The sequence below is a fragment of the Homo sapiens genome, chromosome 15 (genome assembly GCF_000001405.40).
Source record: "Homo sapiens chromosome 15, GRCh38.p14 Primary Assembly".
Classification (NCBI taxonomy): Eukaryota; Metazoa; Chordata; class Mammalia; order Primates; family Hominidae; genus Homo; species Homo sapiens.
This window is the reverse complement of record NC_000015.10, coordinates 80,084,308-80,100,695: the sequence shown is the minus strand read 5'-3', so window position 1 is coordinate 80,100,695 and position 16,388 is coordinate 80,084,308. Positions and strand designations below refer to the sequence as shown.

The 16,388-nt window shown below is 37.6% G+C and overlaps 1 protein-coding gene across 17 annotated transcripts in view; it reads right to left on the bottom strand.

Moving 5' to 3' along the window:
- The window catches only part of ZFAND6 (zinc finger AN1-type containing 6), a 79,443-nt gene that overhangs the window by 37,698 nt on the left and 25,357 nt on the right, over window positions 1-16,388 (bottom strand). For 11 of the 17 annotated variants that reach the window (XM_047432697.1, NM_019006.4, XM_024449959.2 and 8 more), the window contains one exon: window positions 2,118-2,280. The exons of the other annotated variants lie outside the window; for them this stretch is intronic. The gene's annotated coding sequence lies outside the window, so the exon portion shown is untranslated. Of the gene's footprint in view, window positions 1-2,117; window positions 2,281-16,388 lie in introns of those variants that run through there. 17 annotated transcript variants of the gene reach the window in all.

Sequence of the window (16,388 nt, the reverse complement as noted above, 5' to 3'; positions counted from 1 at the left end):
ACAGAATTTCGTACAGGATCAATGAGAAGCCTACACTATTGTGGTAAGGTAAAGGGTAGAGCAAGGAAGAGGGAATAAAGTAGATGAGTTTTATATATGTTGCTCACATATTCCTACATGTACTTTCTATCCTAGGAAAGTTAATTAGCTTCTAACTTTATCCCCTTGAGAGAAGAGTAATATAGAACAGAACACAGAGAATCATCTCAGAGAGATAAAAAGAAATTTGGGACCAATTTACTATCATACAATTTCCCCCTAAACCCTCTACAGTGATAAAAGCAACTCTCTTCCCTATTGTGTGTTCTCTCCTAATCTCATTTTAAAAATCAAAGTTTCATTAGTATGTTCCAAAGGCCTCTCTCACCTTGAATTTTCCTTATTTTTAACACTAATTAAAAAAGAGGAGGGAAGGGTGTTGAAGTACTGTTCACAGAATAGCAGCACCAAATTAAACTTGGCTTTTCAAGGGAAATGCCAAATGGCAGTAAATTAAGAATTAAATTTCGTTTTACAGACCCTAAAACTGCATTAAAGTGAGCCTTGTAATCATTAAACAAGATTATAAATATTTATTCTCTAGAAATACTGAAAGATTAGGAACTAGATAACCTCTGGAGATTTACACAGTGTTATGTATCTACTGACCAATATAGAAAAGAAAATAATGGGGCAAAGTGAAACCTTTGGGTTTTTCACTAGTTTTGAATGCAGCAACATGTGTCCCTCCATTTCTGCCACATATCCTTTGACCACTTTCATTATGAATATCCATATTCGGCCGCGCAAGGTGGCTCACGCTGGTCATCTCAGCACTTTGGGAGGCCAAGGCAGGCAGATCACTGGAGGTCAGGAGTTTGAGACCAGACTGGCCAACATGGTGAAACCCCACCTCTTTGTAAAGTACAAAAATTAGCCGGGCATGGTGGCGCATGCCTGTAGTCCCAGCTGCTCAGGAGGCTGAGACAGGAGAATTACTTGAACTTGGTAGGCAGAGGATGCAGTGAGCAGAAATTGTGCCACTGCCTCCAGCCTGGGCGACAGAGTGAGACTCCGTCTCGAAAAAAAAAAAAAAAAGGATATCCATATTCAGTGTGTATTCTTCACGTTTTCTAAATGTTTTCTCATTCACTGATTCTAAAGATAGTCCATTTTTATTTTCCTTCAGTCAACACATTTGTGTTATGAAAGAGAAAGTAATTTCATTTTAGTGCATACACTGCATAACATTCCTTCTACTCCATGCCTCAGTGAACAGTTAACAAGATTTTATAAGTCTCTGTCTACATGCTCATCATTTTGCTCAATACAATGCTGTACATTTTAATCACTCCATCTGTACAAACAATGCATTCTTCTAAAGAGAGAGAAAAAACATCCAATTAAGAGTCTCACTCCTAAATCCATAAAGAAAAAGTCGGGGGGAGGAGGGTAGAAAAAAACCAGACACCACCCTACCATAGATTCTTAAGGTGTTAACTTTAACACCTTAAAGGAAAGAAAAGGAGATTTTTTTTCTTCCATAGGCATTTCTATTATTCAAAGTACTTTAAAAAATAAAATTGGCGAATTTAAAAAACTTTCAACTGCATTTAGGGAACAAGGGTGCTTGTATTTTGATATACTCTTTGACTAAATGAAGTTATTTTTTAAAATATTAGCTTTTAAAATTATTATAATTTAAATTATTATTTCCAGAAGCAATTTTCTCTATTAATATCAAACATCATAATCCCAAGTAATTTTTTTATGGTTGTTTGGTCAAAATATTAACTTTAAATGGCTGAAATCAATGCAAAATAAACAGCAATCTAAAGAATTACAATCTTTTGCTTCACAATAATAAATTAGTAATGCAGATTCCAATGCTTATAATAATTCTGAAAAAAGATGTGTAGTCACTAATAACATTAGTTATAAATGTTATTGCACAAATTATTTTATAAATAAAAATCTACCACCCACTCCACCCTCAGTATCCTACCCACCAGAAAAAATACACCCTAAAAATGTCTCATCATGATGACTTAGGTCTATCTTCAAGCATTTTAAATTAAAAAAAAAATTAAGTTACTATGCCCAATTACATAGGGTTACAGGCTTAAGTCTCTACTCACACAGTTGAGGTTGATGAGCAAACAGCTGTCCTGTATCTTGAGACAGACATTAGCTTTCTGCCTTCCCTATTCTCATAAGCAGCTACTTAAAAGTTTTGAATTTTATGCAAGAAAACATTTTAAAGCCTTCTGTGTTTTACTGCAGCAGACTTCAGATTCATTCCTGTAACACATTTAACATGAAACAGAGTTGAGACATATAAAATTTACGTACCACATTTTAACCACCTAAAATTTTAAGGAGTGCTTTCGCTATTATAGCTAGGTTAAAAGGGTGGCTGAAGAAAAAGTGAAAAATAAAAACATTCCAATTGGTATTTGACATTATTAACAATATGCATATAACTAATCCATAGATTTTCTATACCTGGCCACAGACTAGGTGAGTAAGGATTACTTTATATAATCATTTTATCCAAAGTAAGCAAAAGTAGGTATTTTTCTGTTTTCCTTAAGTCTAGCTAATTTATTTAGAATAAACAGCTACCAACTAAAGAACACTTTTACCAACAGTCAGTGGAATGCCTTTAGAGTCTCAAGTATACATGTCATAGCACCGGACTAGGGAGAATGAGATTGTTTTGTGACAGCAGGAGGAGCCATGTTGCTGACATTTTCTATGGTTTATAGCACATTTCTTGACAGATTAAAATTTCTACAGTACCATTATTACTACAGGTTAATCAAGTGTTAGAAGCCTTGCCTAGAAAATAAAACCTTGTTCCCATAAAAAAAAAAAACTATTCTACTAAACTGAACTTTCAAAATACCAAAAATACAGAAAGTCTGTAAATTAAGAACTACAATTACAAGATAAAAATCTTTGTTTCTCCATCCCATTAGCAAATATGTATTACATAGGCAGTCATAATGACAGTTTGCACTGCAAAAATAAATGTATGTATTTATTTATTTATTTATTTATTTGAGACAGTTTCGTTCTTGTTGCCCAGGCTGGAGTGCATGCAATGGTGCGATCTTGGCTCACTGCAACCTCTGCCTCCCAGGTTCAAGAGATTCTCCTGCCTCAGTCACCTGAGTAGCTGGGACTACAGGCACCCAACCATCACGCCTGGCTAATTTTTGTATTTTTTGTAGAAACAGAGTTTCACCATATCGGCAGGGCTGGTCTCAAATTCCTGACCTCAGGTGATCCACCTGCCTTGGCTTCCCAAAGTGTTGGGATTACAGGCATGAGCCACTGCACCAGGCCAAAAGATTTAATTTTTAAAAAAATTTATATTGCTACATAAAAAGTGCCATTTAAAAATCTGACACATGCCGGACGCAGTGGCTCACACCTATAATCCCAGCACTTTGGGAGGCTGAGGCAGGCAGATCACCAGAGGTCAGGAGTTCATGACCAGCCTGGCCAACATGGTGAAACCCCGTCTCTACAAATAACACAAAAATTAGCAGGGCATGGTGGCACATGCCTGTAATCCCAGCTACTAGAGGGGCTGAGGCAGGAGGATCACTTGAACCTGGGAGGTGGAGGTTGCAGTGTGCTGAGATCATGCCACTGCACTCCAGCCTGGGCAACAGAGGGAAACACCGTCTCAAAAAAAAAAAAAAAAAATCTAACACATTATATCTAAACTTTAATGTATAACAGTATCAGAAAGCCACAATACAGAGAAAGATTCTAGGCTTTGATGTTTCAATGCATTTCCTATTCACCTGCATTTTTTAATACAACTGTAAGTAAACTTCAAGCAAAATATGTACACTTCAATTAAAACATCCTAGAATACTGAGATAACTACCTTTCCCCTATATGTACACTGGGCTATACCTTTCCCCTATATGTACACTGGGCTAATATGTATATTGGTCTAAATTTCTATAGTAAATTTTAGGAAAAACTTAAAGATGTCATGAACATAGTAAATGTACTGTTTATATTAGCAACATAATTCAAAAACACCATGAGAAATAGCACCCAAACACTCCAATTTCATAGACTAATTTTAAAACTATTAATTAATGCTGAAATATTTAACATTTGCTATGCTGTAAGAGATGACTTGATGTTTTAGGGTTTATTCAAAGTAACTCAAATGTTTCTCTATAATCGACTTATATGGTACATATGAATATTTTAAAAATAATTCAAAATCTCATAAGAGTTATATGAAAGGTATTCTATCATAATAAGTTAAAATATTTGTCCAAGTGTCTAACTTTGCTTCAGTAGAACTGATTAAAACTCTGATTTCACCGCAGGCTTAAATGAGTCTGCAGTACAAGGGCTAAAACATAAACTGTACCAATCTTGGGCAATAAAACAGAAGCATGCTTTCTGCATAAAAATAATTTACATTTTATAGGTGTTTACGATATAACAGACACCACTGAGAGTTTTACATGCACGCTTAATCTTCATTCCATCCTTAAAAGTCAGGTGCTATTATTACCAACTCTTTACAGATGACAAAACAGGTTTGGAGATGTTAGGAACTGGTTCAAGATCACAGAGCTAGTTAAGTGGCAGAGCTAGGACCTGAAGCCAAATCTATTTGTCTCCAAAACCTGGTGCTCTTGAGCATAAAGCTAGATTACAGGCAAACAGTGATCCATTGTACTGATAGATCAAACTGTATCTGGAATTAGTATCCAGATTTGGATACCATATGTTAAGTGTGATACTGATGAATGAATGTTATCAGAAAACCAACAGGATGGTTATAAATTCAGGAAAGTCATCTCTTACAAGAAGTGACTATATGAAATTAAAGCAAGTAACCTATCGAAAAGACAAAAAAGAACACATTTTGAAGGGCAGTTAGAGAGACACAAATAAAGCAGGCTCATCTCACGTGGTACAGAGTACAGAACTTGAAACAGTGTATAGAAGTCTCAGGAGACATTCTTGTTCAACACAAAGCACTTTATAATGCTAAAGAATCCAACAGCTCAAAGCGGTTCCTACTATGGTACTGAGCTCCTACAATTAAATACCTAAACCCGGTTAAATATCTAAATCCATTAAATATCTGAATTATTACCATCTAGTAATAATTTGATTTAGACAAAGTTACCAAAGAATGTTAAAACTCTTTGTGAATGAAAGTTTGATGAGGACTGGTATATATTGAGTCTAATAGTGTCTTCCCACAAATTATGTATTACAGAAGGAGAAATATTAACTTAAGTAGAGGAACCTGGCAGGTATCACATTAACCTAAAGATCTAAGTAAGTATCACTGATAAGGAAACAAGTGGACATGTGCCTCCTAATGTGATGCACTGAAAAGCACACAAGTGTAACATTCCTGCCAAAACCACATTCCTAAATTTTATCATGAGAACACATTAGATACACTCAAATTAAGGGAGATTCTACAAATAAATGGTCTGTCACTCTCTTCAAAAATGTCAGTGTCATTAAAGGCAAAGAAAGGCTGAAGAAATGTTCCTGATTAAAGGAGAATAAAGAGATGTGGCAACTAAATGCAATGAATGATTATGGGTTGGATTCTGGACAGGAAAAAAAAAATCCCTAAAGAATGATTATTGGGCTCACGCCTATAATCCCAGCAATCTGGGAGGCCGAGGCAGGTGGATTACCTGAGGTCAGGAGCTCGAGACCAGCCTGGCCAACATGGTGAAACCCCATCTCTACTAAAAATACAAAAACGAGCCGGGCGTGATGGCACTCTTGTAATCCTTGCTACTTGGGAGACTGAGGCAGGAGAATCATTTGAACCTGGGAGGCAGAGGTTGCAGTGAGCCATTGCACTCCAGCCTGGGATACAAGAGCAAAACCCCGTCTCACACACAAAAGAAAAAAAACATTAATGGGAAAACTAGTAAAATGTGAATGTGGACTGTGTATTAGATAACTGCATATTTCCTTAATTTAATAACTGTAATGCAGTTATACAAGAGAAGGTCCTTGTTGTTAAAACTATACATTGAAATATTACATGGTGAAGGAACATGATGTAAGCAACTTAATCCCAAAAGATTCAGAAAAAAATAATATGACAGAGAATGAATAAGTAAATAGCACAAAATGTTAACAATGGGTTAATCTTACTAAGAGGTCCAGGGACCAGTTTCGTGGAAGACAAATTTTCCGTGTGTGTTTTTGGGGTAGGGGGTAGGGGTGGGCGGGATGATTTCAGGGTGAAACTGTTCCACCTCAGATCATCAGGCCTTAGGTTCTCATAAGCAGTGTGTAACCTAGATCCCTCTCATGAGCAGTTCTCAAGAGGGTTCGCACTCCTATGAGAATCCAGTGTTGCTGATCTGACAGGAGGCGGAGCTCAAGTGGTAATGCCAGCTCCCACGCGCTCCCCTGCTGTGCAGCCAGGTTTCTAACAGGCCACAGACTAGTACCAGGCCTAGTTCAGTTGCCAGCCCAGGGACTGGGATAGGAAATACATGTCTATTTTAACCTTCCATAAATTTGAATTATTGCAAAATAAAACCTGGTAAGCATCTGAACCTCATGTTCCAAGGATTCTAAATAGCTAAAAGAACCAGATTCCTTATCTTGTTTCCACACACAAACTCCATCCAATCCAACAGCAGTTTAAACTGATTTATGATGACTGAGTTATAATAAATAGTGCTCCAGTTTAAAATACCAAATGTAAGTGCCAAATGACATAAACCTTTCCACTGATGATAAGGTATGACTCACAGATCTAAGTCAGGTGAATGTCTACCTCCTCCCAATCTTATTATTCTACTGCACCCTTCCCGAAACTACACTGGAATTAAAGAACAGAGACAAGACTTCTCCAGTAAAGCTCTGCTATTCTTCCATTGAGAAGGCAGTAGCAAGTGTGTCTCCTTGCTAAAAACTCCAAATTAAGTTATCTATCTAACTATTTATTTATTTTGAAACAAAGTTTTTCTCTTGTTGCCCAGGCTGGAGTGCAATGGCGCGATCTCGGCTCACTGCAACCTCCGCCTTCTGGGTTTAAGCGATTCTCCTGCCTCAGTCTCCTGAGTAGCTGGGATTACAGGCATGCGCCACCATGCCCGACTAATTTTGTATTTTAGTAGAGACGGAGTTTCACCATGTTGGTCAGGCTGGTCTCAAACTCCTGACCTCGGTGCTCCGCCCGTCTCGGCCTCCCAAAGTGCTGGGATTACAGGCGTGAGCCACCGCGCCCAGCCAGGAATCACTTCTTCATGTTTTCCGATTATTTGAAAGAATATAGAGAAAGCAACCTCCCTCCCCACACCTCAAATACAACCTTCTTGCTCATCTATTACATTTATATTACAAAATAATTCAAGTTCCTAAAGAGTTCCTTTTCTAGACAAAAACTTGTATATTTAAAAAAAAGAAAGTCCTGCCTGGGCATGGTGGCTCACGCTAGTAATCCCAGTACTTTGGGAGGCCGAGGCAGGCGGATCACGAGGTCAGGAGTTCGAAACCAGCCTGGTCAGCATGGTGAAACCCCGACTCTACTAAAAACACACACACACACACAAAAATTAGCTGGGCATGGTAGCGCACATCTGTAATCCCAGCTACTCGGGAGGCTGAGGCAGGAGAATTGCTTGAACCGAGGAGGCAGAGGTTGCAGTGAGCTGAGATCGTGCCACTGCATTCCAGCCTGGGTGAGAGAGCGACACTCTGTCTCAAAAAAAAAAAAAAATTGTAGTAGCCAATATTTAAACATAAAGCCTAAATATTAACTTACAGTAAATTGGGTATTTTGAGACCAAAAGACTTCTTCAGAGAGCTAAATATAAAAGTATTTTAATATAATTCATTTGAAACATTTTTGCTTCTTTACCACAAAATTAAAATGCTCAAAATAATAGCTATTTTTAAGAGTAGCCTTCAAATTTAAACAATTTTTAAAAATTCTATTGGTATTATAGTGTGTCAATGTTGCCAAGGTAAAACATTCCAGGGTAACACCGTCAATGAACCCATTCACCCACCACTGATTACGTGCACAGCCTTGAGGGATACAAAATGTAAGACACTAATTCAGCCTGAATGATGAGACAAGAACTTTCCCCCCTCTCTCTTACCATTTAGAACTTTGAATAAATTAAAACGTTACTACCCCTCTAATAAAACATGTTAACAATGAATAACTGATATGTTTTAAATAGCACATTCAGTTTATTATACTGTTTAATGAGGATACGCAGTTGTTTTGTTTTTTGAGACAGAGTCTCACTCTGTCGCCCGGACTAGAGTGCAGTGGCACGATCTTGGCTCACTGCAACCTCCGCCTCCCGTCCTCAAGCAATCCTTTTTTTTTTTTTTTTTTTCCTGTAGAGATGGGTTTTTGCCATGTTGCCCAGGCTTGTCTCGAACTCCTGGGATCAAGTGATCCACCCACCTTGATCCCTGAAGTGCTGGGATTACAGGTGGAAGCCACCATGCTGGCCAGTTGATTTTTTTTTTCCCAACCACCAACAAACCAAATTTTTTCTATAAATCTTCTTTGATAATTCATTCCAGTTAACAGTTGTTTTGCAGATAAATACTATCCATTGCAAGTGGGACAGATATATGTGGAGAAAACTAAATACAAAAACATCACCTCTACTCAGAAACAAAGCATTTCTTCATTATCAGGGAGCAAATGTCTACCTTCAAGAATGTTATCAGCTATTAACATTAACAGTCAAAGTGAGATATTAAATATATGGATTGGCCAGGTACGGAGGCTCATGTTTGTAATCTCAGCACTTTGGGAGGCTGAGGTGAGAGGATCGCTTGAGGTCAGGAGTTCAAGACCAGCCTGGGCAATACGGCAAGATTCTGCCTCTACAAAAAATTTTAAAATTAGCCAGGCATGGCGTCACGTGCCTGTAGTGCTAGCTACTCAAGAGGCTGAGGCAAGAGGACTGCTTCAGTCCTGGAGTTTGAGGTTACAGTGAGCTATGATTGTGCGTCTGCACTCCAGCTGGGGTGACAAGAGCAAGATCCTGTCTCTTAAAAAAAGTTTTTTTTTTAATAGTAAATATATTAAAAATTTGTATCTGTTATTAGAGATGAAGAAGAGCAAATCAAGGATACCGATGGCAAACTGGCAATCTTCAGTGTTACTTTTCTCTAAAATAGTTCACTTTTTAGTTTTCATAACATTATAAAAATTAACCATTTTATCTAAACGGAACTCTGCGAAAGCAAATGAACGAAAGGTCCTGGTTACCTTTTCTTTCAAAAGAACATTTGATTATTCTGAGAAAACTACCAAAATGATTAGAAGAATGAAGTATGGCTTGGAGTTTAATCACATACAAACCATCCATTAGGCATCCAGATTCAGAGCTTTTTGTGGTACTCAGTCTTCTCAATAACACCTCTAGATTTTCACGTACATCCTCCTCCTTCCTTCTCACCCCATTCTGATATAAAATCACCTAATAGGGTGAGAAACTACACATGTGCACGTGTGCCCGACACACACACACACACACACACACACCCCTTAACAACTAAATAGAAAATATGATACTAATGAAATCTTTCTTTGCAAGAATTTCCTTTGGCAACTTCTCTTCCTCCTAGTGGCCAAGTCAAGTAACACCTATGGTGACCATATCTTCTAAATCAAAACCTAGGATGTGTGATTCAACAAGATAGAATATTTCAGTAGAAAAACATAAACCTCTAGTGGGTTGCGGCAAAGAGGCAGTTCAAATTTTTGTGCTACTTCCAAATGTGTGACTCTGTATTTTAAGGGTGTCAAAAAGTTATTATTTCTAAAATATTCCAAAAATTTAGAAGACCAATAAAAAATATTTGAAAACTGGGTTGCCTGAAGATACATGGCTCCTAGAATGGTATCTCAAAATCCCATCACCTGCTATTTGTCTTTTTATATACATTAGCTCAGGTTTCAAAGTTCTAAATAGGAGTTCTGAGCAAATCTCCCCCAAATATGACTCTTTCTCAGACCATTCTCCAGGGTTGTTTTTGCTAACTGCCTACTAGAAATTCACTTAGATGTCTCATTGGCTCTGCCAGTTAAAAAAACAAACAAAAACATGGGATGAGCATGGAGCAGGATTAACTAAGAGCTAGTAGGTAAGTCAGAATTGCAGGACAAATAGTAAGAACAGAATTGAGGGGTCCCATGATAAATGTTTTATCTGCATTGTCTCCTTTCATCTTCACAATATCCCTTAAAGGTAGTAGTAACTATTTAGAATGAGGAAACTGAGGCCTACAGAGATTATGGAACTTGCTCAGGTCAAACAGCTGGTAAGCAGTAAAGCAAGGATTTGAACCCAGAGAGTCTGACTCCAAAGCTCAAGCACCTGAACATGCTAAGACATCAAAAAGAATGAAATGCAGATTCTGACAGAGTTGTGGTCACTGGTCAATTCAAGAGGCATTTCTTGAGTACTTAGGTACTATCAGATACTGAGGATACAGAAAAAAATGTACATCTGGCTTCAAATTCTTGCTTTACTACTTAATAGCTACGTAAGCTGAAATGAAAAAGTTTCTGAGCAGTATGATTTGAATAAGGAATGGCTGCTACTCAGGAAAACAGACAAATTAACAAGTCACAATATAATATGAAACAACACAAATAGAAACAAGGAAGAGAAGTTATACAGTGATTAGCTTCGTTATAGGGAAAGGATTGTTTTGGTTTATGGTGGGAGACTCACCTTAATATTTTGAATGAGGATGAAGGATATTACAGACTAAATAAAACATGATACCATGATTCTACATAGTGCACTCAAGAGTCACAAGTAGACTGATACTCTTAAAATATAAATACCTAGAAGGGTGGAGAGTTAGGCTGGATTCTAGATGATTAGAAAAATAAAAAGGAAAACATAGTTCAAGCATCCAGACAGCAGTCAAGGTCCAGGGCTCAAGTAGGCTAAAACGGACTGGGTGGAAAGCAGAGCTCAGGCAGTATTACAAGGAAAGCTATTCCATTTCCACAGGCAATGGAGTCTATACAAGTGATCATCAATCAGCCTATGGTAAGCAGCTAGAAGGCAGAGATTACATATTCATTTCAATTCAACATATAGTTGAATGCTAGGTCAAGAGAACACAAAGGCTAGGCTGGGAGTGGTGGCTCACACCTGTAATCCCACCACTTTGGGAGGCTGAGGCAGGCAGATCACTTGAGCCCAGGAGTTCAACATCAGCCTGGCAAACATGGCAAAACCCCATCTCTACTAAGAATACAAAAATTAGCCAGGTGGTGGCACAGCCTGTAATCCCAGCTACTCGGGAGGCTCAGACAGGAGAATTGCTTGAACCAGGGAGGTGGAGGCTACAGTGAGGAGATCGTGCCACTGCTCCAGCCTGGGTGACAGAGACTCTGTCTCAAAAAAAAAAAAAAAAAAAAAAAAACACACACACTCACACACGAAGACAGAATATGGCCCCTACTCACAAAGGATCTCACAGCTTTGGTACAAGAGGCAAATATGTTGAATTATTGCAATCTGGTGTGATCAGTGAAGAACAGAAGGAGTTGTCAATTATGAGTAGGTCTTTCAGGAAGATGTGGGAAGATAACAGCTGTAAAAGTGAAAAGGGCCCGAAACAATGTATTTAGAGAAAATGCTGGTAGTTTACTGTGACTGAAGTACAGTACACGTTGAGATGAGGATACTGAGATAAGCAAGGGCAAGATTATGGTGGGTCTATTATGGATAAAGATGAGATAAAGAAAAATCCCTCAAATGTTGGGAAAGAAGGGAATCTAGAAAGGTGCTACCCAATATATTAAGTAGCCACCAGCCCTGTGGAACTACGGAGCACTTGGAATGGAGCTAGTGCAACTAAGGAGCTAAGTTTTAATAAATTTAAATAGCCACTACTAACTACCATATTAGACAGCAATGATCTACAGCACACGTAACAGAATTTTCTTATCCAGAAAGAATTTATCTTCCATAAAGAAAAGAGGGTAAATGAAGATACAGGTATTTGTAAATTAAGGAAAAGAAGGGGCAGGAAATTGAGAAAACTCACAAAATTATGTCAATGGTAACAATAAAGCATAAGGAAAGAGTGAGGACGAAGTCGTTTTTTTCTTTTGAGACAGAGTTTCGCTCTTATCGCCCAGGCTGGAGTGCAGTGGCACAATCTCGGCTCACTGCAACCTCCGTCTCCCGGGTTCAAGCAATTCTCCTGCTTCGGCCTCCTGAGTAGCTGGGATTACAGGCGTGCACCACCACACCCCCTAATTTTGTATTTTTAGTAGAGACAGGGTTTCACCATGTTGGTCAAGCTGGTCTGGAACTCCTGACCTCAGGTAATCCACCCACCTTGGCCCTAAAAGTGCTGGGATTACAGGCATGAACCACACTGTGCTCGGCCAAAGTCTTAAAGAATAGAGAAGGTTTAAGATAAGCACACAGAAAAATGGTAGAGGGTTAGGATCAAAAAGGATGGACAAGTCCAAGCTGGAGTTGTAAAGTATAAAGTTTGTAGTAAAGCTTAAAAAAACAAAGCAAACCAAAACAAAAAGCTATAAAGGGTATTGTTGAGACAACTGACAAAACTAAATAAGGACAGTATATTAAATAATATTATTGCATAAAAGTTAAAATTCCTGATTTTGATAACTTAATCACACTGTGTAAGAGAATATTCTTGCTCTATGGAAATATATACTGAAGTATGTAGGGGTAAAAGTCTCCAGCTTATGCTCAAATGATTCAGAAAAACATAGCATGCATATGTATTATATATACAATGCATATATAGTATGTGCATACTAATTTAATTTTTATATATGCATGCATAATACACCCCCAAGGAAAGTAAGAATATGATAAAGCAAACAGGACACAGTATAACAATTGGGAATCTAGAAAAACGATGTATGAAAGCTCCTTGTACTGTACATGCAATAACTATGTAAAAGTTTGAAAATAAATATAAATTAAAAGTTACAAAAAAATTCATAGTAGTGTCAAAACAAAACTATATGATTTCCTCTGATAGCACTTAGAAGCAGAGTAGATGGCAAAACTGGGCAAAGATTCAAAGCTAAGAATACTGGAAGAAAAGTGATTGAAGAGGGAACTGAAGCTAGAGGAGAGAATGAAACAAGAGGTGCTGGGACCAGAAATCTTGATAAAGCTTAAAGCTTAAGAATAAACGTGCTGGGAAAAGGAGAATGAGCATTGGAATGACAGGAGGCTACAGTCAGAAAAGTAGGATATTAAGCATTCCAAATCAGAGTTGTTATTAGTCATTTAGGAAATGCAAATTAATCCCACAATAGAATACCACTCCACATCCACTAAAATGGTTAAAATTTAAAAGACTGACCACACCGATTTTTGATGAGGGTGAAGAGAAACAGAATTCCCAAGCACGACTAGTGGGCATGTAAAAAACTACAGCCACTTGGGAAAACAGTTTGACCATTTCGTATGAAGTTAAACATGCAATTATCCTAAGACCTAGAAATTCCACTCCTAGGTTTCTACCCACAAAGAACAAAAACATATGCCACACACTTGTACGCAAATGTTCACAGTGGCATTATTCACAACAGACAAAGCATAAAAGCAGCCAAGTGTCCATACATGGATGAATGGATAAACAAAATGTGGTATGTATATATAGAGAGTATTATTCCACCTTTAAAAGGAATGAAATTCTGATACATACTACAATCTGGATGAACCCTGAAGACATTATGCTAAATTAAATAAGCCACACTACAAAAGGACAGATATTGTATGATTCCACTTACGTGAAATACTTGGAATGGTCAAACTCACAGTGACAGAAACAATGTTGGTTACCACTGACTGGGGGAGACGTGATTGGGAGTTATAGTTTAATGGGTACAGTTTCAGTTTGGGACAATTTTTATAGTTCTAGAGATGGAAAGTGGTAATAGTTATACAACAATGTGAATGTATTTAATGGTACTGAATGGTCTATTTAAAAACAGTTTAAATGGTAAATTTTATGTATATTTTATCACAATAAAAGATTAAGCTAATGACAGGTAGTGCAACATGAATGTACCTCAATAACATTTTAAGGTCATTTTTGTTATTATTCCATTTATATGAAATGTCAAGAAAGGGCAAATCTATAGGTTACTGGTTACCCATAATGGGTGGTAGGAAAGGGGATTGTTTACAAATTGGTTCAAGGAATATTTTGGGTGACAGAAATGTTCTAAAAGTGGATTGTGGTAGTAACAACATAACTTTATAAATTTACTAAAAAATACTGAACACTTATGAAACAGGTGAATTTTGTGGTATGTAAATTATACCTCAATATAAAAAGTTTTAGGCCGGGTGCAAGTGGCTCATGCCTGTAATCCCAGTACTTTGGGAGGCTGAGGCAGGCAGATCACCTGAGGTCGGGAGTTTGAGACCAGCCTGACCAACATGGAGAAATCCCATCTCTACTAAAAATACAAAATTAGCTGGGTGTGGTGGTGCATGCCTGTAATCCCAGCTACTTGGGAGGCTGAGGCAGGAGAATCACTCGAACCCGGCAGACGGAGGTTGCAGTGGGCTGAGATCGCGCCATTGCACTCCAGCCTGGGCAACAAGAGGTTGAAACTCCATCTCAAAAACAAATAAATAAATAAAATAAAATTTTTTTCACCAATGAATTGCCAATAACTAAAAAAAATTAATACGTCTACTGGTATGGGTGCAGATAAACTACCTTTTTTTATAGGTCTGGAGACGAAGAGAGTAATACACAATGGTAAGTATCTGTGTATCTAAACATAAAAAAGGTACAGTAAAAATACAGTATTATAAACACACATGACCACAGTCTATATGCAGTCCATCACTGACCAACATGTCATTATGTGGCACATGACTATACATGTAAAGATTTCACAAAATATCCTAAAGTTAAACACACACACACAAAACACACCAGGAATTTTAAAAACAGTATGTACAATATGATCCCCATTAAAAAAATTAAACCTAGGTATGCATGTTTACAGAAAAAAGGCTAGAAAAATATACAGATATTTTTATCCATTTTTATTGCTAACTAGTTAGATGATGAGTGTTTTTTGTTTTTGCCTATCCATTTGCCAAATTTTCCATAATTAATATGTATTTCAATTGTATGACCAGAAAAGTTCAGAAGTGGAACTGTTTTAAGCAATGATTAAGGTCGTGATTTTGGGAGTTGATTACGAAAGCTCTGGAGACAAAGGTCATAGGAGTTTAAAAAATTAATTTACTTTGAAATTTAAATGAATTTATGTATTCAATAAAAATTAAGCATTTCCTATGTGCCAGCTACGGTTCTAGGATCTGAGGATACAGTAACGAATAAAACAGACCCAAATCCCAGCATTCACAGTAGTGGAAAGTCACTTGAACAGAGTGAAGAACTTAAACCACGTACAAAAATTCTAAATGAACGTGAAAGAACGATGGAGAAAAGAAAAAGAGATAATGAACAGGAGTAGCCTTGATACTTGACAGAAGAGTAATGGTCTGAAAACACAGAACTCACTCCCCTTTTAACCTCCTGGTATGACGTATGGAAGAATCAGCAGCCAACACTTGAGGACCAGGAGGAAAGTGGCGTCCTTTGAAAGATGAAAGCTTCAGTTAGGGCAGGAAACAAAGATTCTGTGAGGAGTTAAGTATCTTGTTCATTACAGAATAGAGCTCTAGAGCAAAAGGAATGAGTAGTGAACTGTATTTGGTATAGGAACCAAGGGGGCATGGCAGGATTAACCGACTTAAAAATTCTTAATTAGGTTCAGACTGCAGCTTAGGAGACATTCTGAGGCTTGATGATGCAGGATGACACTCACCTGGTCCTCAGATGCTGGGACAGCATGTATTATTTATCTCTGTATCCTCAGAGTCTAATACAGAGTCAAATCTGCAGGTTAGTAAAAGCAAAAACCTTCAATGACTTGAAGAGAAAATCCTAAATCTCAAAATTCAACATAGCTCAGGAACTTGCTCCAAGAAATAGCTTTGCCTAACTTAGTATTGTTTTCAAGGAAACTATCATCTCTCTGCCAACCCGGCTTAACGCCTTGGTCATTTCTGACACACTGCCCCCACGTAAATTAGTAATTAAATCAATACTCCTCATCTAACCCTTTTATGCCATTACATCTGGTTTAGGCCCTCCTCCCTCCCACTTCTTGGCCAGTTAGGCCTCAGTTATTAGGAAGTATATCCTTTTTCCAAAATGTCTGGGACCAGAAGAGTTTCAGATTTCAAATTTTTTTGTATTTTGGAATATTTGCATTATATACTTAACAGTTGAGCATCCCTAATCTGAAAATCCAAAATCTGAAATGCTCCAATGAACATTTTCTT